The 27,453-nt window shown below is 44.1% G+C and overlaps 1 protein-coding gene and 1 long non-coding RNA gene across 6 annotated transcripts in view; one reads left to right on the top strand and one right to left on the bottom strand.

Annotated features, from left to right (window-relative positions):
- Positions 1 to 2,490, top strand: part of LOC124900603 (uncharacterized) — a 42,544-nt gene extending 40,054 nt beyond the window's left edge. Inside the window, exons 2-3 of the long non-coding RNA XR_001752385.3 lie at positions 191 to 274; positions 1,844 to 2,490. This is a non-coding gene — a long non-coding RNA (uncharacterized LOC124900603). The remainder of the gene's footprint in view (positions 1 to 190; positions 275 to 1,843) is intronic.
- The window catches only part of CDH13 (cadherin 13), a 1,173,672-nt gene that overhangs the window by 132,859 nt on the left and 1,013,360 nt on the right, over positions 1 to 27,453 (bottom strand). The window lies entirely within an intron of this gene.

Below are 27,453 nucleotides of genomic sequence, written 5' to 3'. Positions count from 1 at the left end.
GGAGGCTGAGGTGGGACGATCTCTTGAGTGTAGGAGTTTGAGGCTGCAGTGAGCTATGATTACACCACTGCACTCCAGCCTGGGTGACAGAGCAAGACCCTGTCTCAGAAAAAATTATTTTTGTGATGTGAAGAAAAGAATTAAAAATTTATTTTACCCTAAAAGTTCTTTTTATTTCTTTCGATTTTAGGGTCCTAGCACTGTGATAATGGTGCCTAATGGATGACTCAGCCCTGATCCTTAGTAAACAGCACAGTGCCCAACACATGAGCAGGTCTGAAGATGGGACGGATGGATGGATGGGTGGACAGATAGATGGATAGACGGATGGGTGGATGGATGGGTGGGTGGTGGATGGATGGATGGGTAGGTGGGTGGATGGGTGGATGAATGAATTAATAAAATTAATATTTAGGCCATGTATAAGTGAGACAAACCTGTGCAGCTTCTTCCATGACACTGATAGTTTTATGTCTGCAGCACCTGCTGAAGGGGCTGGTATAGAATACCTTTTTAGTGTGTGGGCAAATGAATTCAAGTAGAATGGAAAGGGGCTGATGTGCTAGGAATTCTCAGAGATGTGCATTGTGGCCCTCATATGTCCTTGGATGGGTCCACAACGGCATTTACCTGCCATCCATCTATCTATTTATCCATCCATCCATCCATCCATCCATCCATCCATCCATCCATCATCCATCTATCCATCCTTCCATTCATCATCCATCCATCCTTCCATTCATCCATCCACCCATCCATCCATCCATCCATCCATCCATCCATCCATCCATCCAGGGTTACACCACTAAACAAAACAGACATGATATATTTCCTCAGAGAGATTACAGGCTGAAAGGAGAGACAGATGGGAAAGAAATGTATAACAACGTGTTAATTGTCAAGAAATAAAATTACAGTTCTTGGGGAGTCTGTGTGTGTGTGTGTATGTGTGTGTGTGTATGTGTGGAGGTGGGTATCTGATCCAGTCTGGAGAGGATCATCAGGGAAAAATTCCCTGAGAACTGAAAGAAGAGGAGGCCTTAGAGAGGTGAAGGGGGTGAGAACATACCTGGCATCTGAAAGAGGAAGAGCAAAGGCCAGGTGGCGGGAAGAGCCAAAGGTGGCTTTGCAGAACAAAGGCAAGCTGGGTGTGGCTGGAATGAAGGGGAGAGCCAGAGAGAACTCTATGACATCAGACTCCAGAGGTGGTAGAGTCACCTTATGCAGGGCCCTGTGGGCCATGGGAAGGCATTTGGGATTTACTATGAAAGCAAAGTGTAGCCTAATCAAGGAACTGGGTTACGTTTAAATCTACTCCTGAGAGAATACAGAAAAAAAAAATCTTTAAATATGGAAAACATTCAACACAATTATTATAGTATTTGTTAAGCCCATTATCTGATTTCTGCATAAACTATGAAGCAGTTTCTTTGAGCATTCATTTAGAAGCTCATTATTCCTTAATTAAATACTCATTCTATTAATTCTATTCAATGTTTTAACCCCATTATATAATTCAAGAAAGGAAAATTAAATAGATTAAAATGAAATGGTACCATTTTACATTTCTATAGCAATGCTCACTTTGTGATTTAAAAACAATAGAAAGACATTAATTTACCACACTAGAGCAGGAGGAATTATTGATTGTACTATTACTACCTTTAATTGGAAAAAATAGATAAAGTTACTTTTCTGTTAAACTGTGTGGCAAATCAAATACAAGATATAAAACGTATTTTTACACAATCACTGTGGCCTGTTGGGACTATGTACTGGGCTTATGATCTCTTCCCTCCAAATTCAGGACTGATTATTTTCTTTTCTTTGACTTACATCATAGACATTCAGGATGAGGCTGCCTGGATGAGCCACAAAGACAATCACAAGTAGGAAGAGGGACTTGAATTTTATTATACACCAAGAATGCATGTTCTTCCTCCAAGAGCAGAAAGTTGACCTTTAGATTAACATGGAAGATGGAAATAATGATCAGAAGGCTGGAAAGACACAGATGGGAAAGAAGTGACAGAGGACAAGTTTAAAGGACTGCACATATGCAAGCTTGCATGCTTGACTAGTTGCATGTTTGACCTGAATACTAGACTAAGTTCACGAGCCATTAACCCTAAAGTTTCACAGAGAACTAATATGGAACTTGAAAAGCTGGGATGTAGTCATCTGGCCCTTAGCTTAAAAAAATTATAGGGTCTCACTAATTTCTATTTGTGATGATAAAAGGGTAGGGGAGAGACCATCAGAAATATAACTTGCAAACATTTTTGAGTCTATGTTTACATAAAAGATACAGCTTATTGGAAGGCTCTTCCCAATAGTCTAATGGGTAGCAACTGTGACTGATATAAATAATGCATTTAAGGAGCTTGGCAAATAGCCTGGCATATGTATAACAAGGAGTCAGTATTTGTTAGCAAGGATAATGATGATGGATTTTGCCCTGTATCATATGAAATTCTTACTAAGAAATTGGAGAATTTGGTTTAAACCCCTGTGACTCTTTCTGCTCTTATCACAGTCTGCCATATAATGTAGTTATGTATATATGTATTTTATTTTCCTCGAGTGGTGTGGAAGAAGCTTTTTTTTTTCAGTTATGTATGCCTGGCACTCACACACTTGCTCATTCTTGTTATGCTCCAACAACAGACATGAGGCAAATGATGTCAATCCTATCATGTCCACATTTGGAAGGGAAAGCGGCATTAGATATCTGGTTTTCTTCTATGATTAGGATTTATCTCATGGCGGAAAGATACAACAATTCATTTTAATAAATATTTGTTGTGTCTGTTGCATGCTGGAGACTCCACTAGGCACAAAAATACATCAGTAAGTGAGAGGGCTAGTATTCCCTCTGGGTGTCCCCTTTCTTTGTAGGTACTGTACATCTACAACATATCTGACAATTTGCTTTCTACCACTTCTAAAACCATTTCCTTCACTGTCATACATCCAAGGCTGTACCTGTGGCCAATTATGGATGCTTTTATGTTTTGACATGATTTAATTTCCAGGTAACGGTCATTTCAGTAAATGGTGCTAGATCAATTGGATATCCATCTGCAGAAAACAATGAATCCTGACCCCTACCTCACACCATACACAAAATGTGAAATGTAAACAGTAAAGTTCTTAGAAGAAAACGTATGAGAACATTTTCATTCAGCCTCCACATCATGTTTGTGTGCACTATATATATATATATACACACATATATAATATGAAATATAATATAAAAATAAAAACTAATTATATAAAATATACATAAGATATATATTTACATAAAAATTTTAAACAGTATACAGTACAGAGTTCTACATAAAGCTCATTCAATGTTTTAAGAAAGCCCGATGTCTCAGAACAGATTAATAACAGAGCCACTCAAGGGACCTGTGGTTGCTTGCCTAAGAACTATGGTCTGTTCACTGGCAAGTCTTCAAGATGATTGGAACCTACTAAGTCCTTCCCTAGCTACGTCACAGTAGAAAAGGCATAGTCAGGCCCTGAAGTGACTACAGGAGCCAGATGAAAGAATATTCAGGAACCCACCAGATCATCATAGTCCTAGTCATTGGTGAGCATCTTTTTCTTCTCCTTTTTTTTTTGAAGCAGATCTTGCTCTGTTGCCTAGACTGGAATGCAGTGTTATGATCACGGCTCACTGCAGCCTTGACTTCTTAGGCTCAAGTGATCCTTCTGCCTTAGCTGGGACCACAGGCCTAAACCACCATGACTGGCTAATTTAAATTTTTTTTTTTTTTTTGTAGAGATGGGAGTCCTACTAAGTTGCCCAGGCTGGTCTCAAACTCTTAGGCTCAAGTGATCTTCCTGCCTTGGCCTCCCAAGTTGCTGGCATTACAGGCATGAGCCACTGTGCCCAGCCTTCTCCTCTCTTTATCTGATTAAAATTCTGTAAATGATTTGTTTTCTTTGAAGATGCGGAGTGGTGTCAGAGACTTGATTTTTAATGCCCATGGGAGGTAGCTCACACAGGAAAGAAAGAAATCAGATGCTAGAGGTGAGAATTCCAGTAACCATGAACAGAAAGAACTTGGCACAGACTTCCCTGCCTCTCAAACACAGACAACCTGGGGCATGCCTCTCCCATTGTTGAGCTCCTGAAGAGTCGGAGTCATGTCTCTGCTTCCCCAAAATGCTGAATGTCACATCTTTCATAAAGTAAGAGCACTGTAAGTAGACACTAACTTTTCGGGTTATTTTGTCTCAAGAATAAAAACACAAGGTAGAAAGAAAACAACGTACATGTGTTTGAGAGTCTCCCAATGAGAATAGTAACCAGTTCTTCTCTATTTCTCCTAAGAAAAAGGAAAGTGGACTCAACTGTAGTCCAAATGACAGAGATTATATAATTTCTAAATGGCAAATTAGAATATTTCTTTCCTGAAAATCTTAGCGGTTTTGAGTAGATATAGCTCAGGGTGCCTGCATAATCCATAAAACATTTGAGGGACCTAAACCTACCCCCAGTCCCTGCTGAAAACAGTGGTACTAGGGAGTCATTTTGTATCATGTGATCCTAGCTTCCTTGGCCATAGCTGATTGGACCCAGAGCTGATTACCTGACTCCGGGGTAACCACTCCATCAGTTGATTCATGAAAAATGGGATTATTTCTTTGATAAATTTGAACTAAGAGAAATATAGGTTTCCCAGCATTTGTGCAAGGGGTGGCCATTTTTTGTCATTTGGATAAGGATAAATTATCAGAGAAATCCAATATGCATGGAGAAGCAAAAGAATGGAGAAATTGAGAGAAAAATTTACAAAAGAGATTTTTTTCTGGGACTCAAAGACAAAAGACAAATAGGAAGTGCTCTCAGTCGCTGACTGGTTTCCCAGTCCTGCTCTCAATCCTCCGAGGTTCCCTGTGTTCTTGTCTGTTGGAACCTCTGTTCCCATCAACAACCTCATTTTCACTCCAGCTGCCTTGAGCAGGTTTCTATTCCTTGCAATAATGGCGCCCTGGGGAAAACAACTCTGAAGATGTCTACTGATCTCATCAGGTGAGTGGTCCCTTTGATGGTGCTTTGGGTTTCATAGATGTTTTCTCAAGTATTTTTTCTTTTTCACATCTTGTTATGAAAAATATTAAACATGTATAAAAGCATGTACAATAGGATAATACCCCCCACATGCCTGTCTTCAGGCTTTAGAGATCCTCAACTCCCTGCTCCTGGTGGTTCATCTCCGCAGCCACCCCGCCCCGATTCTGCACTGTTTGGAGCAAATCCCAGACATGCCATTGCATCTGTAAAGATTTCAGTCTAAAACACAGAGATTCTTTTTAAGAAAACATAATCAAAGTCCTTTCTTGGTCCAACTAACATTAATTTCTTCTACGGACAATTTTGTGTTTCTCTTTTGTGCCAGATGCTTTGCTAAAAGGATTTGCATGTTATCTCCATCATGCAAAGAGAGAGTACCTACTAGCTATGGTAATGGACAGTGACAGAAAGGTCTACTAAACATCCAGAGTCTTCCCAGTTAAATGTCTGAAGCCATCCACCATTACTAAACAGGTGAGAAAATGCAAAACTCGAATGTGGAAATAGTTCAAAAATAATAAGGAATAGCATCTCAACAAGAAAGAAACGTCCTGAGTGAAGAGTCCTCTCCAAAACCCATTGGCATCCCAGGTAGTGTGGTTCTTGATCCTGGACTGATACTAATGTCCCCCTCACTGATGTCCTGCCCCATGTGACCCACCCACCCAGGGTGATCCTGGGTTGAAAGGAAAATGATGTTCCTAGGCAGCAGCTGTCTGTGGGTCCCATTCCACTGAGAGAGAAAATGAAGCATCCCTCAACCTCCTGGCTCTACAGGTGCTGGGGAATGAACCAAAGGGCAAGAAAGGGAAACATTCACTGCATGCCCTGGCAGGAATTGCTCCCTCTTCCCCTCAGGGCACACTTCTCTGATTCATTTCCTATGAGATATTTCCATGTGTTGGCTGCAGATACACAGAAGGTGCTGAGTCCATGGCTTTTGAGGAAGATGCCCACCTGGCACAGTCCACCTTCCAGTGACTGTACTCTTCCTCTACATGACCCTGTCTACACCAAATACAGAACTGCACATATGCAAAACTAAAAATGAAATGCATTTTCACGGAGAAGAGGCTTGCATAACAAAGCAGGTCTTTGCCCTACAAAACAAAATGAAAAGACATGGCCACTGAAGACTGACAGGAAAACGATGCAGTGGAACGGTGGTTCTTAAACTGTGTTCCTGAGAACAAGATTTTTTTTTTTTTTTTTTGAGACAGGGTCTCGCTCTGTCACCCAGGCTGGAGTGCAGTGGTGTGACTGCGTCTCATTGCAGCCTTGACCTCCTAAGTGCAAGTGATCCTTGTGCCTCAGCATCCCTAGTAGCTGGGTGTGTATGTGCCACCACGCCAAGCTAATTTTTACATTTTGTGTAGAGACAGGGTTTCACTATACTGCTCAGGCTGGCCTCGAATGCCTGGGCTCAAGTGATCCTCCTGTCTTGGTCCCGCAAAGTGCTGCAATTATAGGTGTGAGCCACTGAGTCCAGCAAGAATGTTTGAGATGGTACAGGAGTCCTACCAAGGCATCAAACATTTTCCTTCAAATAATAAGAATTTAAACTGCCTGAGGAATCTGTTAATTATATTTTATCTGTTTTGTATATTAGAATTCCTGCCTGGGATTTTGTTTGAAAAAAAAAAAAAAGTTTTGCTGCTAAAGAGAGTTTGAAAATCATTGCCTTAGGGGAATGATTAAATAAATATTACATTAGATGGTGACAGAAAAATAAAAACCAAAGAGCAAATATGCCTACATTTTTTTTTCTTCAATTTCAGGCTTGGATACTTTATTTCATTGGACGTTAGTAGCTCTCCTTCACTTGAGTTTCTCTCTTTAAAAAATGAAAGAAAATGCAAAACACATTTGTTCATCTGACAAGATAATTGAAAATAGTTTAATTCGGAGAAGCAGAGAGATTTTCTGTAGAGATACTCATTTGACCACCAACATCTGAATCTGGAGGAAGAATGGCTTTTCAAGAAACAATAACATAGTCTGCTTTCTAAAGACACTGGAGTTTGGCTTATGCAATTCTGCATATTTAAAGGAGTAGGGAATTCAATGAAGTGGGGCAAATTCTAGTTGGCCTCTAACTCAGTGGTTCCCAACCACCACTACTGGTCTGTAGCCTGTTAGTAACCGGGCCACACAGAAGGAGGTGAGCTGTGGGAGAGCCAGTGAAACTTCATCTGTATTTACGGCTGCTCCCCATTGCTCATATTACCACCTGAGCTCCACCTCCTGTCAGATCAGTGGTGGCATTAGATTCTCATAGGAGCACAAACCCTATAGTGAACTGCACACACGAGGGACCTAGGTTGTGTATTCCTCATGAGAATCTAATACTTGATGATCTATCATTGTCTACTATCACCCCCAGATGGAACCGTCTAGTTGCAGGAAAACAAGCTCAGGGATCCCACTGGTTCTACATTATGGTAGTTGTATAATTATGTCATTGTATATTACAATGTAATAATAATAGAAATGAAACACACAATAAATGTAATGTGCTTGAATCCTCCCAAGACCATCCCCGCAATCCTGGTCCGTGGAAAAACTGTCTTCCACAAAACCAGTTCCTGGTGCCAAAAAGGTTGTGGATTGGCTGGGCGTGGTGGCTTCTGAGTGTAATCTCAGCACTTTGGGAGGCCGAGGCAGGAGGATCACCTGAGGTCAGGAGTTCGAGGCCAGCCTGACTAATATGGCGAAATCCCGTCTCTACAAAAAATACAAAAATTAGCTGGGTGTGGTGGCGGGTGCCTGTAGTCCCCGCTACTTGGGAGGCTGAGACAGGAGAATTGCTTGAACCCGGGAGGTGGAGGTTGCAGTGAGCCAAGATCATGCCACTGCACTCCAGCCTGGGCGACAGAGTGAGACTCCATCTCAAAAAAAAAAAAAAAAAAAGGTTGTGGACTGCTGCTCTAACTCATGGGTACCTTTCTGGTAAATTCTGCAAGATCTCTGAGTCCCAGTTCACTTATCTGAGAAAAGGGTATCAGACTAAAGCTGTCATTCTTAACCCTGACTACACATTAAAACACCTGAAAGCCTTAAAACAAACCCACTAATGATATGGGGTCCTGCTTTCAGAGATCGTTCTTGGATGGGGCCCAGGCATACGTATTTCTGAAAACACCCCCCTGTGATTCTAATGAACAGCCAAGGGCTGAGAACAACAGCTTGAGGTAACCACTGAGGTCCCTTTTAGTTCTAAGATCAAATGATAAAAGAAACCTGATGGCACATTCTAACTTGTGTTGGGACCTTGCTGGTGAGGACATGGGACCTGGTGTTGAGGACATGGGACCTGGTGGTGAGGACATGGGACCTTGCTGGTGAGGACATGGGACCTGGTGGTGAGGACATGAGACCTTGCTGGTGAGGATACGGGACCTGGTGGTGAGGACATGAGACCTTGCTGGTGAGGACATGGGACCTGGTGGTGAGGACATGGGACCTTGCTGGTGAGGATATGGGACCTGGTGGTGAGGATATGGGACCTTCCTGGTGAGGATATGGGACCTGGTGGTGAGGACATGGGACCTTGCTGGTGAGGACATGGGACCTGGTGGTGAGGATATGGGACCTGGTGGTGAGGACATGGGACCTTGCTGGTGAGGATATGGGACCTGGTGGTGAGGACATGGAACCTTGCTGGTGAGGATATGGGACCTGGTGGTGAGGACATGGGACCTGGTGGTGAGGACATGGGACCTTGCTGGTGAGGATACGGGACCTGGTGGTGAGGACATGGGACCTTGCTGGTGAGGATATGGGACCTTGCTGGTGAGGATACGGGACCTGGTGGTGAGGACAGGAGACCTTGCTGGTGAGGATACGGGACCTGGTGGTGAGGACATGGGACCTTGCTGGTGAGGATATGGGACCTGGTGGTGAGGACATGAGACCTTGCTGGTGAGGATATGGGACCTTGCTGGTGAGGACATGGGACCTGGTGGTGAGGACATGAGACCTTGCTGGTGAGGATATGGGACCTGGTGGTGAGGATATGGGACCTTGCTGGTGAGGATATGGGACCTGGTGGTGAGGACATGAGACCTTGCTGGTGAGGACATGGGACCTGGTGGTGAGGATATGGGACCTTGCTGGTGAGGACATGGGACCTGGTGGTGAGGATATGGGACCTTGCTGGTGAGGATACGGGACCTGGTGGTGAGGACATGGGACCTTGCTGGTGAGGATACGGGACCTGGTGGTGAGGACATGGGACCTTGCTGGTGAGGATATGGGACCTTGCTGCTGAGGATACGGGACCTGGTGGTGAGGACATGAGACCTTGCTGGTGAGGATACGGGACCTGGTGGTGAGGACATGGGACCTTGCTGGTGAGGATATGGGACCTTGCTGGTGAGGATACGGGACCTGGTGGTGAGGACATGAGACCTTGCTGGTGAGGATACGGGACCTGGTGGTGAGGACATGGGACCTTGCTGGTGAGGATATGGGACCTGGTGGTGAGGACATGAGACCTTGCTGGTGAGGATATGGGACCTTGCTGGTGAGGACATGGGACCTGGTGGTGAGGACATGAGACCTTGCTGGTGAGGATATGGCACCTGGTGGTGAGGATATGGGACCTTGCTGGTGAGGACATGGCACCTGGTGGTGAGGATATGGGACCTTGCTGGTGAGGACATGGGACCTGGTGGTGAGGATATGGGACCTTGCTGGTGAGGATATGGGACCTGGTGGTGAGGACATGAGACCTTGCTGGTGAGGATATGGGACCTGGTGGTGGGGACATGGGACCTTGCTGGTGAGGATATGGGACCTGGTGGTGATGATATGGGACCTTGCTGGTGAGGATATGGGACCTGCTGGTGAGGACATGGGACCTTGCTGGTGAGGACATGTGGCTGGCAGTGCTGAAGGATGCCACTGGCAGGGAATGTTGCGAATTCTTGCTGTTCTATGGCAAGGAGTTCACAGATATTGCTAAGCAAGCAAATGCAGTACCTTTGCCAAGGAAATCACAGTCTCCTGGAGGTCATCTCTTCCACTGACTGATTCTGCAGACACATCCCTCACTCATCAGTTTGTTCTCCATATCCCCAGCCCACAGCCTCTCCAGCAAAGAAGCGGTCTGCTGCAGAGGAAGGTGGGCTGTTCAGTAAAGTAGAAAATGATTGTCAAGGAACACTTTGGAGCTACTGGTTGGCTGTCATCCTGAGCATAGATGAACTTTATGTCTAAAGTGCTGCTCTGGGGGTCAAAGAGGAACTAGGAACTCAGTGGGATTCTGCCTACTCATGAACCTAGAAGCTATCCCAAGGGGATCAGAGTAGAGATCCCTGAAAAGCAGCAGCCTGTCTTCTTGACGGTCTATGGGGGACACCTTGTTTGACCTCATAATGTCACTCACTGTCCCAGAGACATGGTGGCCAGGACACTTGGCTCAGGAACAATGTAGCAATGGAGTGGTACTACAGATAAATGATCCTGTATTGAGGGATTAATACCCTTTACATCACTCATATGGCTGTTTCTTTACAATGAGCTGGATCCACAGTCTGTTAGTTTCTCAAAGGAAGAGCCTACATCATTCATTTTGCCATTACATATGCAGGGCTGAGATCTTATTCATGTGACTTTAGTCTTTCCTAAGAATATGGAAGAGTGAAGCCCAACTGAGTGCCCTGAGTTTACTGTACCTGAAGTGCAAGTTTTATTCTCCATAAATGTTGGCATCAGCCTGTCCTTTAATCACCTTTCCTGGAGCCCAAGAGCTGGCATTCCCAGAATGTACCACATCTGAAATTCATAAGCCACCAGCAGTGTCGATCCCTAAAGATTGACTTGGAGAGATGAAATGCCTTCTAAAATCAAGTAATTCCTTACACCATGCTGTCTTATTCCTATTACAGGCAAAGGATAACTGGGAATGGTTTGTGTTTGTGCCCTAAAATTGGCTGTGATATTGCCAAAACTGTAGGGGAGAGTGGCAAAGACCACGATTCTCTGTGCAGTCATTCAAAGATGTCTACTTTCCCACAGGAAATGGCTCAGGAGCCTTGATCAAGATTCCACTAAATCACCTTTACCATTCAAGGGTAACAATGCCTGGATCTGGTTGACTTTTTCTTAACATGGCTCAGGGGTTCTGGTCCCAGCTTGGGCAATGGCAGCTCTTCATCAGTCAGCACCTGGATGAGAACTTCCATGCCCTGCCTCTCTACTGAGGAATCACACACTCACACCCCCAACCCTGGACTCTGCCCTGTATCCAGGATTGTAAGTGCCAAGTCACAGCCAGCATCTGCTTCTGGGTGTCTAACAGGCACCTCAAACTTAACATGATCGAAACAGAGGCCTTTCCACCTCCCGACTCCACCAAAACAAATCTCATCTTTCCCCCTTCTCCCTTTTCTTGGCAAAGAGCACCACCATTTATTCATGTTGTGAAGGCTGAAAATGCAGGAGTCATCTTTTGATTCCTCTCTTTTCTCATTTCTCACATCCAGTCCATCAGCAACAACTCTTAAAAACTATATGATTCCATTTCTACGAAATATCTGTGAGGCAAACTCAGACAGACAGAAAACAGACTTATGGTTGCCAGGGGCTGGGTGTGAGGGGTGGGAATGGAGAATGACCACTTAATGGGTGTAAAGTTTCCCCTCGGGTGATGAAAAAGTTCCAGCCTTAGATAGTGGTAATGGTTGCATGCATGCAGAATATGTGCTGAATAGGCCTATTTCTCTGTGTCCCACCCCTACCAACCTTGGTGGAGCCATCAGAAGCTCCGCTCAGGTAATTTGATTATCTCCTACAGGGGTGTTTGACTCCTCCTCTGTTTTCCCCCCTGCCACTTTCTCTCTACAACCTGTCCTCTGCATAGTAGCAGCCAGAGTCATTTTGTTACAAATTTAAACATGATTCATTGATTCAATGAAGCCACTGAACACCTGCTACATGCCAGGCTCGATTCTGGGTGTTTGGGAGTCTTCACTGAACAAAGAAGACACACATTCCTGCCCTCATGGAGCTGACATTCCTCTGTCTTCGCAGCCCTGCAACAGCTTCTACTTTACAAAATCCAGAGCCTTTTCCATGGGTTCCCAGGCCTTCTGGGATCTGCCCATCTCTGCCTTTTCTCCCTCATTCACATGGGCTCTGCCATGGGTTTGTAAACAGTTGCTCAAGCTGCAGGACTCTACCTGTGTCGTTCTCTCTGACAGACTCTTGTCTTCATGTACTGGCACCATCTTGCCATTCGGGCCTCTGCTCAGTGCCCCACCTCAGAGGATCTGGCTTTGTCACTCAACAGCTGGGTGCCCTGACACAAGCAACTTCACCTCTGTAAGCCTCGGTACTTCCTTATCTGTAAAATGGGGATAGGGTCACTGCTAACTCCATAGGTGATTCTGGTGAATAAATGAACAAGTGCAGATCAAACTCTTACCGTGGTGTCTGGCACATCCTAAGAAGTGGGTACCTGCTATCCAAAGGCCAGGCTGGAAGGATCAGACAGACACAAAGGATGCCAAAGGGAATCAAGGTGAGAGATTTGCCAACAAGATTTGCCAAGTTTCTCATCACTCAGTGTGTTCAACAACAGGAATCCGTCCTACAAAATTCTAAATCAGACAGGATCTCAAGTAGTGCCTTGTATGCCTCCGTCCTTGCCTTCAAAACTGGAAAGCATGCTGCCTACTGCTGGGTCCAAGGTCATGGGCTGTGCATCCCATGTGCCAGGAAGCAGGTGGGCTGATGCGGCATGGCCCACTGGTGGACTGAGAACACGTGCCCCAGGGAGCAGCCCGCCTGGAGGAGTAGTACCTGGAGCCACAGTTTTGAGCCACCTGGAGATGCTCTTTCACCTCTCCAGAACCCAGAGTCATAGGGTTGGTGGGAAATCATGCAGGGATCAGGTGGCAGCATCCATTAACCCGTAGGCCTAATGCAGAAAGGGGACGAATGATGGGGTGAGTGGAGCAATAGGAAACTATTTTGAGTATATTTGCCTGGAGACGAAAGTACAGGCATGGTAGTTCTGTAGCAATAAAGAGCTGTTTGGAACATCCTGGCATTATTATATTTTAATTTTCTTTTATTGCTCTCTGATGAAACAGATGAGACTCTCAGGCCTGTTTCCTCATCCTGGGGCTAACAATCTGCAGGATTCTTCGTCTGACCTCTTGTGCTTCTTCTCCTCTTGGCCCCTGATCCCGACATCTTGCAAAGCTGCCTTGTTGGGTCCTTTCTTGCACATTGTCCTATACAGGACCTCTGCCCATCCTGGTCTCCTGACCTGCCTTACTTGCTTCAGGGTCTTTCTCTGTTAAATTCAGGGGCTGTTCCTAACTATGGCCTATACCCTAATGTTCAGATAAACCCCACCACGTGAGGGTGCAGGAGGGACCCTTCCCCCAGACATGCTTATAGATGTATCAGGTTGGTGCAAAAGTAATTGCAATTTTTTGCCATTTTTAATTGCAAAAACTGCAATTACTTTTGCACCAGCCTGATAGAAAGAACCGGAACAAATTCAGTCATGCTGGCTGCCTACAAGTCTCTGCTGGAATGATTCATTCATCCTCTATCCACACTTTTATCCTCCATCCATCATCCCCTAGCCACATGCCCATCCCTGTCTATACTATGTATTAAGTCTCTGATTTGTGCATTCATTACCCCACCCATTTGTTCATTCCCTGTCAGTATGTTAATTCCCCCACCCATGTGTGTGTTCCTAGCCACTCGTTCATTTCACTCTCCAAGGACATATTCCCCTATCCAAGCCTTCAATCCCCTGTCTGTACATTCCACAAATATTTATGGCTGATGACGCCGTGCTGAGCGCCTTTCTTAATGCCGGACACAGCAGCGGACAAACCATAGGAGGCCCCTTCTGTCATGAGTGTTGTCCCTATGTGGGAGTGAGATGCTACATAGATACATAAATAATCAAATACCCAGCTTGTTGGATTATTTGAAGAAAAATAAAGCAGGGTAAGAGAATTCCTAAGTGATTTCTTCCTTTCTAAACCTCTTCCCAACAGATTGATTCTTCATTTACCTCCTGGGTTCTGTTTCCTGTCAACTCTTCAACACCTAAGTACCAGAACTATGCTAGAGTGCTGATGATATTAAAAGTAAGCTACAATTCCTGATTCTAGGAGCTCTATATATTTTAATTTTCTCAGCTTTTGTGAGTTTTTTTTCCCTAGAAAGATTTTCCTCAATCTGGTTTGATTTCTGAGCTATGGAGGAAAAAAAAAAAACAGCTTGTGATTTTTCAAACCTTAACAAGAGCTCAAGTTCTGCCTAAAAAGGTGACCCTTTGGGTGACATCCCCTATAGTCTTTAGACATGGTGCTATGCAGTTTTTTCTTTGCTAACAGTTTTATTGCGCTATGATTCACATACCAAAAAATTCATCAATTTAAATTGTACATATGAATGGATTCCAGTACATTCACAGAGTTGTGCAACCACCACCACAATCAATTTTAGAATTTTTTTAACACCTCGAACAGAAGCCCCACCCCCAGGAGCAGCCACTCCCCATTCTTCACCCACTCCCGGCCCCTGGCAACCACTAATTGGCTTTCTGTCCCCGGAGATCTCCCTGTTCTGGACATTTCATAGAAATGGAATTGCGCAATATATGGCCATTTCTGTCTGACTTTTTTCACTGAACATCGTGTTTTCACGGTTCATCCACACTGTAGCGTGGATCAGTACTTCAGTCCTTTGTGTGGCTGAAAGCATTCCGTCATGTGGATGGACCATGTTTTGTTTCTCCATTTATCAGTTGATGGACCTGGAACTGTTTCCACTTAGTGGCTATGGGGAATAATGCTGCTGTGAATGTTCACATCTGCAAGTTTTGGGAGGACTTATGCCTTCATTCTCTTCGGTTTACACCTAGGAGTGGAGCTGCTGGGTCATATGGGGACTCCAGGCTGCAGGCGCTGGGGATTCAAGTCATTTGTTAACCCATATGTAGCCCTTGGGTTGCTCCTTTCAAATACAAGAGACCGTGGCCTGTCAGCTTCCCAGAGCCCAGCCTCCAGCTCCTGAGTGAGGAAAGGCAATATTTGAGAATGAGGGCTTGCTTTGTGAATGGCATGAGGGGCCAGTAAAGAGGGGGTACAATGAGAGCCTTGTCTCTTTCAAAACCTTTGGCTAAACCACGAGGACCCTCCTTCTTCCCAATTTCCATGGGGTGTTGCTGAAGTTAATGGAGAAACTACACAGACCCCTGCAGCCCATGGAGAATCCCACCCCCAGCATGGCACTCACAGCCGTCTCTAACTGGAGAAAGCACATGTCTAATCTCCAGAGCTGTAGGGAGATTGACACACTTGGTTAGGCTCGTGATGCTAACACCACAGCACAAACAAGGACAAGAGAAACCTTCTGCTTTCATTACAAGGGATTTGTATAAATTCATACACGGAATTGACTTACAGCTTCTAATTTGCATTTAAATTCCAAATGTCTTAGTCAGAAGAAACTGCTCTAAATCCATTCTCTGTGTTTGCACCACTGATTCCCATTTCAAATAGACCCCTTGGGCCCGACTGTAATTCCCATGAGCACGTCGCATATTCCTTCCAGAGGTGGCTGATGGAGTTTCTGAGTCCCAGAGGGAGAATAAATGGATGAGAATCGTTCCCTTGGGAATCAGGCTCAATGAGATAAGGAGGATTAAAAAGCATTCTCTGTCCCTCCTGGGCTCTCATCACAGGGTGGAGTAACATAATGAAAATCTGCGTGAGGAGAGACGCACTCCAGTGGCACTCTGTCACATTAAAAAAGACCTATGGGATGGGTGTGGTGGCTCACGCCTGTAATTCCAGCACTTTGGGAGGCTGAAGCAGGCAGATCACCTGAGGTCAGGAGTCTGAGACCAGCTGGCCAGCATGGTGAAACCCTGTCTCTACTAAAAATACAAAAATTAGCCAGGCATGGTAGTGGGCGCCTGTAATCCCAGCTACTTGGGAGGCTGAGGCAGGAGAATTTCTTGAACCTGGGAGGCAGAGGTTGTAGTGAGCCAAGATTGTGCTACTGCACTCCAGCCTGGGTGACAGAGCAAGATTCCATCTCAAAAAAAAAAAAAAAAAAAAAAAAAGAGGAAAATAAAAGACCAATGAGGAAAGTGATTCATGTTGAAAGCCACAGGAAGCTGCATCTTGTTATCTTTGTGACTTTTGGCAGGTCATTTAACCTCTCCGTGTCTCCATTTTCTCATCTGCAAAATGGGAATAATTAATAATAATAATACCTACCCTTACAGGATTATGATGGATTAAATAATTTATAAAATGCTTACATGAATGCCCAGCACATAAGCAATAAAATGCACATTGTTATAATGAAAATGGATAAATAAAATACATAAAGAAACGATGTTTGTTGCACTGAACATCATTTTAAGGAATTTCATGAGCAAAGAAATACACGTTGTTCTTTTGGGAACTTTTTGTTACAGTACCCTAGTCTCTCACTACCTAATATTCCTACCAATAGAAAGTCCCCTTGTTATCTAAACTACTTAGAGCTAGGGGTCTCTTATAACCAGAAGTGTTCTGATCAACTATTTTTATTTTATTATTTTTTGAGACAGGCTCTTGCTTTGTTGCCCAGGCTGGAATACACTTGCGTGATGATGGCTCACTGCAGCCTTGACCTCCCGGGCTCAATGGAGCCTTCTGCCTCAGCCCCCAGAGTAGCTGGGACTGCAGGCATGTGACACCACACTATATATATATTTAAATTTTTAAAATATATTTTATATATTTAAAATTTTTATAGAGACAGGGTCTCACTATGTTGCCCAGGCTGGTCTTGAACTCCTGGCCTTAGGCAATCCTCCAGCCTCAGCCGCCTAAAATGTTAAGATAACAGGCATTAGCCACCGAATCCACCCTGCTTTTTCTTTTCGAATTGTAATCTAATCGTAATCCTAATCTCACTTAGAGTCTTTCGACCTCGCCACTAATGACATTCTGGGATGGATAATTGTTCATTGGGTGGGGGCTGCCCTGTGCATTGGGAGATGCTGAGCAGCATCCTTAGTTCTTACCTACTAGATGCTGGTAGCACCATCCAAGCTGTGACAATAAAAAATGTGTTCAGACATTGTTGGGTGTCCCAGCGGGGTGTGGAAAACCCTCTGGGGTTGAGAACCACTAATCCAGCTAAGATGTGTGTGTCAGGTCTCCCTACATGACAGTTGCCTGTGTACGGCAGCCCACAAGCTCCCCTAGGACAAGAGTTATCACTTATTTGGTCATAGATTCAAACATCATAGGAAAATGCTGGAAGAGCATAGTAACATTTTCTGGGGTAATTGAATCAGATGTTGCCAGAAAAACATTCAAGGGTAAAACCAAAGACTATAATTATTATGAAAATTATTGATGTAGTTTTCATTACCCTACAATTTTTGAATTAGCAGCTGATAATCCCTTTTATAAAAGAAGAAAGGTATTTTTTTTCCTGCTTTCTGTACTTCCTGCTGCTTTTCAATAAATACATTTTATACCTGTGGGTGCCAAGTGGATGCAGGTGCAACACATTGATTCTGGTCTTACAGCCAGGGTCAAGTTCCATCAACCTACAAAGGAGCAGAGGCTTGAAAGGAGGCAGCTGTGTCACCCTTGGGGCTGTCTCAATGGGCCTCAGAAAATTAAAACACCGCATTTTCCATTTTGTCCAATTAGAACGTGTTCAGACTCCAGCTTACTTGACAATGAAGAAAAAATGGCATGTCATCCATTTTCCCCTCCCTATGCAAAGTGTGGGCTTTGGACCAGCTTAGCTGTGAGCTGGTTAGAAAGGTACAACCTGGGCCCGCCTTTTGAATCAGGTCCTCAGGTGGCTGGGTGCTTCAGCAAAGCTGCAAAGTGGGCTCTAGACCCCTGCCTCTCTCAGCAGCAGACCTTGCTGCTTGACCCACAGGGGAAGAGTGCGAGAAGGCAGGTGCCCTCCGTGTTCAGCATCCCCAACCTGGAAACCCACAGGCCCCCTCCCTTTGCCTCTTTCTTGCCTCCTTCCCCTGGCTGCAGGAGGCTATCTTCCTTGCTGCTCAAAGTGAACTCCAGTCCCTGGCTCCCACCGGCTATGTACTCCTCAGTGCCTTACCCCTTCCTGCCCTCCTTCCCTGCACATCAACTTATTTCTCCTTGCAGGTCCATAAACATGTTCATGACTCTCCAATTAGAAAACAACCACAACATGCGTAACAAAGAAAAAGCAGCTCTGAGCCCAACCACCCTCTCTTTCCCTTCACAAGAGGGGCCCGTATTTCCTCACCTCCCACTGTGTGATTAAAGTGTATTAAATATATTGAAAAATGCAATGAAGGTAGGGAGCACAAAAATAAGCACTGTAAATTTATTTGCAATCAAGGAATAATATAAATGGTCACTGTTGAGATGTAATTACAGTAGAAAACATACTGTTCCAAAATCCTCATTGGGTCTGATTGAACAGGTGCCAAGGGCACATTTTATAGAACCCACATGGAGCAGGAAGGCTCACTCCAACAGCAGCCTGTGGCCACTTTAACCTCACTGCCACACCTGAGGGGAATGGGGGGCGAGGAGGCTGGACTTCATAAGTAGAAAACAGGAATAGTCACAGAGTTAAGAAATTTTAAGTAAAAAGGTGAATTCTTTCAGCTTGAATTTCCTTCCCCAGTGATAAGATGTCTTGCCACAGTTCCCCAGTGGGAATTGCCAGATAGCATAGTAGGTGGTGTATGTGTGTTGCGGGGAAGCTAGAGAGCTGGGGATAGAGTGCAGAAAAAGAAGGCAGGAAAAGACACAGCTACATATGCAAAAAAGTTAGGAAAAGAGACAAAGAAAGGAAGAAGAAAGAAACAGCGAGGGAAAGAGAAAAAGGGGGATAGATAAGGAAGAAAATAAAGACAGGAGACAGAGATGGGGAGAGGGAGAGAGAGAATAGAGAATAAAGATAGAATGATACTGACTCGATTTTTGCACAAGAAATTTTCTTTGTCTTAAATAAGAAAATCTGAGCGAATCAAGAGCTGTGTTCTAGTGTTTTCAGCATTCCCAGGGGGTCGGTGTCAGTAGAAACCATGAATGGAAATTTCCATGTCTATGGAAACCCAGTGGTTGAAGCCTCCAGTGTAACTCACTGACCACTCTGGGCAGCTGCAGAAAGACTGAGCATTCAGACTAAGCCTGGGACTTCTGGGAGGGAGGAGGGGTGGCAGGAACCATGGACACCACCCAGGAAGGATTCTGGCAAGTCACGGTGATGCCTCTGCATTAACTACCATGAAGCCTTACCTTCTTGCTACAGTTTCTAAAATCACTGCATCACACAAACTTGCGTTGAATCAAAGTGACCCTTAAGTCTCCAAAACAGTCCATATGGAAAGTTCTCCTGGGAGTTGTTCTGCCTCGAGACCACCCACTGGCTTGTTCTTGCATGTAAAATACACATGTGACTCTGAGAACACACGGCCAGACATGTGTAATTTACACGCCTGGATGATGAAACATCCGTGTTTTATTAACCCCATACCTTGGTCCTTCCAAGGTATGGCTTTGGTTTCCCTTAACTCCTGCTTTGTTGCCTTTACAAAGCAACAAATTCAAACACACCTTGAGGGAATATTTAAGAGGTTCTAAGTCAGGGAACCAAAAAAAGGTGTGGTCACTAGACTCCAGTTTCCTTAGGCGAAGAACTGGGATAATGCTGTTACCTTATCAGGCAGTTGTGGGGCTTTAGGATCAGGTTTGTAATGCATCTTGCATGTGTGCTTATAACACATCCCCATGGCATGGGGATTTTAACAGGGATCATAATGGGGATCGTGGCTATCAACTTTCTGGACCCAGGTAGGACTGACCAGTCAAGGAGACTCCTGGACAGAATCTCTTCCCCTTTGGTCCTACCAGCACCACTGCTGGTACCCACCAACCAGATAACACTTATTCTTCACGTGTCACAGATCCTATGATTGTTGAGGATAAAAAGATGGGCCATTTGAGGGGAATCATATTCTAGATAATCCCCGAATATGGAAAAATCTGTCAATTTTCCTTCTCTGTCAAAAACAGCTATTTCTGAATGGAAACAGAGTCCCTTGATTATCAGGTTTTGCAGAAGCCCAGCTCATAAGTAACTCAGTTCAACACACACACGCATGCATGCACACACATACACACATTTATGTTGTAGGAAGGGAGTGTTTCCAAAGTGAGCCAACATCTAGCATCATTGCTATGGAAGCACAAGCAAAATGGGGGAGAAACTTTCACAAACAAAACAGAAAGGTAAGCCTCCTGGGGTCACCCGTGAGCAACACGGTACTTCCTACAGGTAGGGTAAGAGTGGATGCTAGTGTAATTTTTTTTTTTTTTTTTTTTGAGACAGAGTCTCACTCTGTCACCCAGGCTGGAGTGCAGTAGTGGCATGATCTCGGTTCACTGCAAGCTCCGCCTCCCGGGTTCATGCCATTCTCCTGCCTCAGCCTCCCGAGTAGCTGGGACTACAGGCGCCTGCCACCACGCCTGGCTAATTTTTTGTGTTTTTAGTAGAGACGGGATTTCACCGTGTTATACAGGATGGTCTCGATCTCCTGACCTCGTGATCCGCCCTCCTCGGCCTCCCAAAGTGCTGGGATTACAGGCGTGAGCCACCGCGCCTGGCCGATGTTACTGTAATTTAAGACCCAGGGGAGAGAGAAAGCCTGCAGTCCCAGGTGCCTGGTGTAGACCTCCAGGAAAGGACAAAACGTAAATGATGCTGTGATGTGGACTGCAAGTTCCAGGCCTCATTAGCAGGTGAAGGGGAAAGGGGGGAGTTGCCTTCTTTTGATACAAGCAGCTAGAGAAGAAGCCATCAGACCAGGTCTCATGGCTCTGCGGTTACTGGAACAGGCTGTAGGATGGGAATTTGGTAGAATTGAGCTAACTCAAATAACAGGATGCAAACACAACTGTGTGTGTGTGTGTGTGTGTGTGTGTTTTTTTTTTTTTTTTTTTTTGAGACGGAGTCTTGCTCTTGTCACCCAGGCTGGAGTGCAATCGCGTGATCTCAGCTCACTGCTTCCCGGGTTCAAGCAATTCTCCTGCCTCAGCCTCTGAGTAGCTGGGACTACAGGGATGCGCCACCACGCCCAGCTAATGTTTTACATTTTTAGTAAAGATGGGGTTTCACCATTTTGGCCAGACTGGTCTTGAACTCCTGACCTCAGGTGATCCACCCACCTCGGCCTCCCAAAGTGCTGGGATTACAGGTGTGAACCACTGGGTCCGGCCAACACAACTATTTTCTAAAGAAAGTTGAGCCCTGCAGAACGGCAGCAACAGAAAGCTTATTAGTGGAATGGTGATAATCACAGCTAACGATTACATACATCCTTCATGTCATGACCCGGGTACGCTACTCACCCAGTGGGGTAGGTTACCGTCATGAGCTCCAAATTACAGGTGAGGAAACTGAGGCACAGAGAAGTACAAGCACTTGCCTAGGGTAGCAGAGTTAGGGAGTGGAGAGATGGGATTCAGACCCCGGTTGGTCTGAGTCTAGAGTCTATGTGCAACCCTACCTGGTGGCTTTCACGTATGGTCCCACACTAGGGCCCAGTGGGAGAGCATCAGTACTCTACACAGACACTGCTCCAACCCATACAGCTCCAAGGCTTCTCCCAACGGGGCGAGGCTGGATGTGGAGCAAACCTACAGCAGACATTTCCCCCAGTTTATGTAGCTATGGTTTAAAACCAGGAAAGGATTCACAATTGGTTTTCTAAGTAATGGCAGAATGATTTTTCACCTCAATTTTCGTCTCCCTTTTTCTTGTGTATGATGAAGGATCTTTTTGACTTTTTTAGTATTTCCACTGTCTAAGCAAACCAAGCCTGTGCTAGATTTACAGGAAATGATGCCTCCTCTCCTCCTGTTTTCCCTGCCCCTTCCCTTATGCTCTACCACCAAGAACGGGCCACCTGCAGGGGCTAGCAAGTTCTTCTCATGTGGCCTTTCTGGGAGTCAGCATAGTGCTCTGGTGATTGGAGAAGGATGGGGAAGGGGCTTTGCTGCTGAGGTTTCTGTAATGCCACACCTGAGGGTGCGGGAGGTTGGGGGTGTTCTGATGGAGTACCTTTAAAAAAATTATTTTATTTTAGATTGGGGGGGGGCATGTGTGCATGTTTGTTATATGGGTATATTGTCTCTTGGTGAAGATTGGGCTTCTAGCACACCTATTACCCAAACAGCAAACACTGTACCTGATAGGTGGTTTTTCAGCCCTCATCCCCAACATCTCTCTCTCTCCCTGCATTTGGAGTCCTCACTGTCTATTGTTTCCACGTTTATGTTCATGTGTACCCATTGCTTACCCTTCACTTACAAGTGAGAACATGCAGTAGTTGATTTTCTGCTTCTGAGTTAATTCACATAGGATAATAGCCTCCAGCTCCACCCATGTTGCTGCAAAGGACAGGATTTCATTCTTTTTTATGGCTGCATAGTATTTCACCTGTGTATACACCACCTTTTCTTTAACCAGTCAATCGTTGATGTACACTTAGGTTGGTTCCATGACCTTGCTATTGTGAATAGTGCTGTGGTGAACATATGAGGAGTAGCCCTTTTAATATAATGTAGCTCAGGGTGGTTAGAGGATTTGGGAGTGGATGTGAGCATAGAAGGAAACTCAGGAATGGGGTTAGGTTCAAGAGTGGGGAGCTTGTAGGTTTGAAGTCCAAGCGAGGAGCCCAGAATATTTAGCACCTCCCTCCTGATCATTAGCCCCTGGATTCTAGAGGAGCTACAGCTGCAAAGCATACTTCATATCTGCTCCTGCCTTGCTGTGCCTTAGAGGCTTCCACTGCAAGTTCAAGTTCATGCCCGTGGAAGCATGAAGGATATTAGTATCCGTCCAATTGCTGTGGCCTTTGGGATCCTACTTCACTGGGGACCCCCACTGCTGATGTGAACCATTCACAGGCCTAGAATTCCACCTCTGCTCTGCGCTTGAGTACCAGATGCGTTTCTGGACCATGAACCTCATCCTCTGTATGGCAGCCCATTTGCAGTGGAGCAGGCTAGGAATCTATGCAATACAGAAACCAGCGTAACTGAGGGATGACAAAAGTGAAGGTAATTTAAAAATACTTTAATCATATTAGAAAAAGAGCTATAAACTGCAATGTAAAGTGCTCATACTTTTGGGCCAGGCATTTTGCTTTTGGGAGTTTATCCTACAAAGACTTTCATATATGTACGTGAAGATGTACATTCAAGCATTTTTATTGCTGTAATGTTTATAAAAGGGAAAACCAGGAACCACCATCAAAATGTCCATTTATGTGAAGTTGGTCAAATGGTGGGACATCTATAAAACAGAACACAATACAAAGCCATTAAAGGGAATGAAGTAGCATATTGTTTGGCATTATGGATCAGAAGGGAAATCCGTTATATTGGACCATGGAAGCACCTTGGGTTTACTTAGTGGAAATAAAATGTGCTAAGTTAATGAAATTGGGAGAATGTGGGCCATTCAAGGGACACATCTGAAGGCAGAGCTGAGATAAAGAGAAGGAGATTACAGAATTTTTATGTTCTTAGGCTGCAGGGTCCAAGGACTCTGTTGGGTTTCACTAGTTGGAGCTGGCGGGGGCTGATCTGATAGGCTCTGCTTCTAGCTGCCCTCGTTACAGCTTATGTTAAAGATCTGAAGATAAGACAAACCACATGCAGGTTCCTCAAACGCTCTCTAGGAGCGGAGCTCTGGCTTTCTGGGAGGATCCCACTTAGAGGAAGAGCTGGGTAGTACGTAAAGCGTGGGTAGGTGGCTGTACAGTGGACAAGTGGACAGGAAACTTGGGGGGCTCTCCAGGATGCTGTTGACATGTTTGACATTATGATTAACGTAAGTAAACTATGAATTTGCAGTACTACCTGTCTCATTCATTCTATTTGGTAGGAAACCTGGACTGAGTGATGGAAGAACCCATTCTCCTGACTGCTTCTGCAAACTGACTTGGATTACTAAACATTATGGAGTTTCTCTGCCCTTTATTGCCACCAAGAAAGGCCAAGATCACCCAAAGCAGGTAGCATAAGCTGAAGGGGGAACAATAAAAATAACATCAACAAAGACATTACTATGTAGCAGGTGCTGGGTTAAACTCTCTGCATGTGTTTTATCATTTGATCCTCACCAAAGACTAAAGAAATAGAGTATTATTAATAGTTCTCCCTTTTTACAGACAAGGAAAAAGATACAAATCGTGAGACAGATGGCAATATACTGAAGAGAGTGTGATCACACGTTTGTAAATAAAAAAGTAGAACTTGATATATACGAAGGGAAAGAACATAGTCCTCTCTCAGGTGTGTGGAGAGATCTGTTAAATTTTTTTTTTCTTTTTTTTTTTTTTTTTTATTATACTCTAAGTTATAGGGTACATGTGCACATTGTGCAGGTTAGTTACATATGTATACATGTGCCATGCTGGTGCGCTGCACCCACTAATGTGTCATCTAGCATTAGGTATATCTCCCAATGCTATCCCTCCCCCCTCCCCCGACCCCACCACAGTCCCCAGAGTGTGATATTCCCCTTCCTGTGTCCATGTGATCTCATTGTTCAATTCCCACCTATGAGTGAGAATATGCGGTGTTTGGTTTTTTGTTCTTGCGATAGTTTACTGAGAATGATGGTTTCCAATTTCATCCATGTCCCTACAAAGGATATGAACTCATCATTTTTTATGGCTGCATAGTATTCCATGGTGTATATGTGCCACATTTTCTTAATCCAGTCTATCATTGTTGGACATTTGGGTTGGTTCCAAGTCTTTGCTATTGTGAATAGTGCCGCAATAAACATACGTGTGCATGTGTCTTTATAGCAGCATGATTTATACTCATTTGGGTATATACCCAGTAATGGGATGGCTGGGTCAAATGGTATTTCTAGTTCTAGATCCCTGAGGAATCGCCACACTGACTTCCACAATGGTTGAAGTAGTTTACAGTCCCACCAACAGTGTAAAAGTGTTCCTATTTCTCCGCATCCTCTCCGGCACCTGTTGTTTCCTGACTTTTTAATGATTGCCATTCTAACTGGTGTGAGATGATATCTCATAGTGGTTTTGATTTGCATTTCTCTGATGGCCAGTGATGATGAGCATTTCTTCATGTGTTTTTTGGCTGCATAAATGTCTTCTTTTGAGAAGTGTCTGTTCATGTCCTTCGCCCACTTTTTGATGGGGTTGTTTGTTTTTTTCTTGTAAATTTGTTTGAGTTCATTGTAGATTCTGGATATTAGCCCTTTGTCAGATGAGTAGGTTGCAAAAATTTTCTCCCATGTTGTAGGTTGCCTGTTCACTCTGATGGTAGTTTCTTTTGCTGTGCAGAAGCTCTTTAGTTTAATTAGATCCCATTTGTCAATTTTGTCTTTTGTTGCCATTGCTTTTGGTGTTTTGGACATGAAGTCCTTGCCCACGCCTATGTCCTGAATGGTAATGCCTAGGTTTTCTTCTAGGGTTTTTATGGTTTTAGGTCTAACGTTTAAATCTTTAATCCATCTTGAATTGATTTTTGTATAAGGTGTAAGGAAGGGATCCAGTTTCAGCTTTCTACATATGGCTAGCCAGTTTTCCCAGCACCATTTATTAAATAGGGAATCCTTTCCCCATTGCTTGTTTTTCTCAGGTTTGTCAAAGATCAGATAGTTGTAGATATGCGGCATTATTTCTGAGGGCTCTGTTCTGTTCCATTGATCTATATCTCTGTTTTGGTACCAGTACCATGCTGTTTTGGTTACTGTAGCCTTGTAGTATAGTTTGAAGTCAGGTAGTGTGATGCCTCCAGCTTTGTTCTTTTGGCTTAGGATTGACTTGGCAATGCGGGCTCTTTTTTGGTTCCATATGAACTTTAAAGTAGTTTTTTCCAATTCTGTGAAGAAAGTCATTGGTAGCTTGATGGGGATGGCATTGAATCTGTAAATTACCTTGGGCAGTATGGCCATTTTCACGATATTGATTCTTCCTACCCATGAGCATGGAATGTTCTTCCATTTGTTTGTCTCCTCTTTTATTTCCTTGAGCAGTGGTTTGTAGTTCTCCTTGAAGAGGTCCTTCACATCCCTTGTAAGTTGGATTCCTAGGTATTTTATTCTCTTTGAAGCAATTGTGAATGGGAGTTCACCCATGATTTGGCTCTCTGTTTGTCTGTTGTTGGTGTATAAGAATGCTTGTGATTTTTGTACATTGATTTTGTATCCTGAGACTTTGCTGAAGTTGCTTATCAGCTTAAGGAGATTTTGGGCTGAGACGATGGGGTTTTCTAGATAAACAATCATGTCGTCTGCAAACAGGGACAATTTGACTTCCTCTTTTCCTAATTGAATACCCTTTATTTCCTTCTCCTGCCTGATTGCCCTGGCCAGAACTTCCAACACTATGTTGAATAGGAGCGGTGAGAGAGGGCATCCCTGTCTTGTGCCAGTTTTCAAAGGGAATGCTTCCAGTTTTTGCCCATTCAGTATGATATTGGCTGTGGGTTTGTCATAGATAGCTCTTATTATTTTGAAATACGTCCCATCAATACCTAATTTATTGAGAGTTTTTAGCATGAAGGGTTGTTGAATTTTGTCAAAGGCTTTTTCTGCATCTATTGAGATAATCATGTGGTTTTTGTCTTTGGCTCTGTTTATATGCTGGATTACATTTATTGATTTGCGTATATTGAACCAGCCTTGCATCCCAGGGATGAAGCCCACTTGATCATGGTGGATAAGCTTTTTGATGTGCTGCTGGATTCGGTTTGCCAGTATTTTATTGAGGATTTTTGCATCAATGTTCATCAAGGATATTGGTCTAAAATTCTCTTTTTTGGTTGTGTCTCTGCCCGGCTTTGGTATCAGAATGATGCTGGCCTCATAAAATGAGTTAGGGAGGATTCCCTCTTTTTCTATTGATTGGAATAGTTTCAGAAGGAATGGTACCAGTTCCTCCTTGTACCTCTGGTAGAATTCGGCTGTGAATCCATCTGGTCCTGGACTCTTTTTGGTTGGTAAACTATTGATTATTGCCACAATTTCAGAGCCTGTTATTGGTCGATTCAGAGATTCAACTTCTTCCTGGTTTAGTCTTGGGAGAGTGTATGTGTCGAGGAATTTATCCATTTCTTCTAGATTTTCTAGTTTATTTGCGTAGAGGTGTTTGTAGTATTCTCTGATGGTAGTTTGTATTTCTGTGGGATCGGTGGTGATATCCCCTTTATCATTTTTTATTGTGTCTATTTGATTCTTCTCTCTTTTTTTCTTTATTAGTCTTGCTAGCGGTCTATCAATTTTGTTGATCCTTTCAAAAAACCAGCTCCTGGATTCAT

This window comes from Homo sapiens, chromosome 16 (assembly GCF_000001405.40).
Source record: "Homo sapiens chromosome 16, GRCh38.p14 Primary Assembly".
Lineage (NCBI taxonomy): Eukaryota > Metazoa > Chordata > Mammalia > Primates > Hominidae > Homo > Homo sapiens.
Note: the sequence above shows the minus strand (reverse complement) of the source record. Positions and strands in the feature narration are given on the sequence as shown.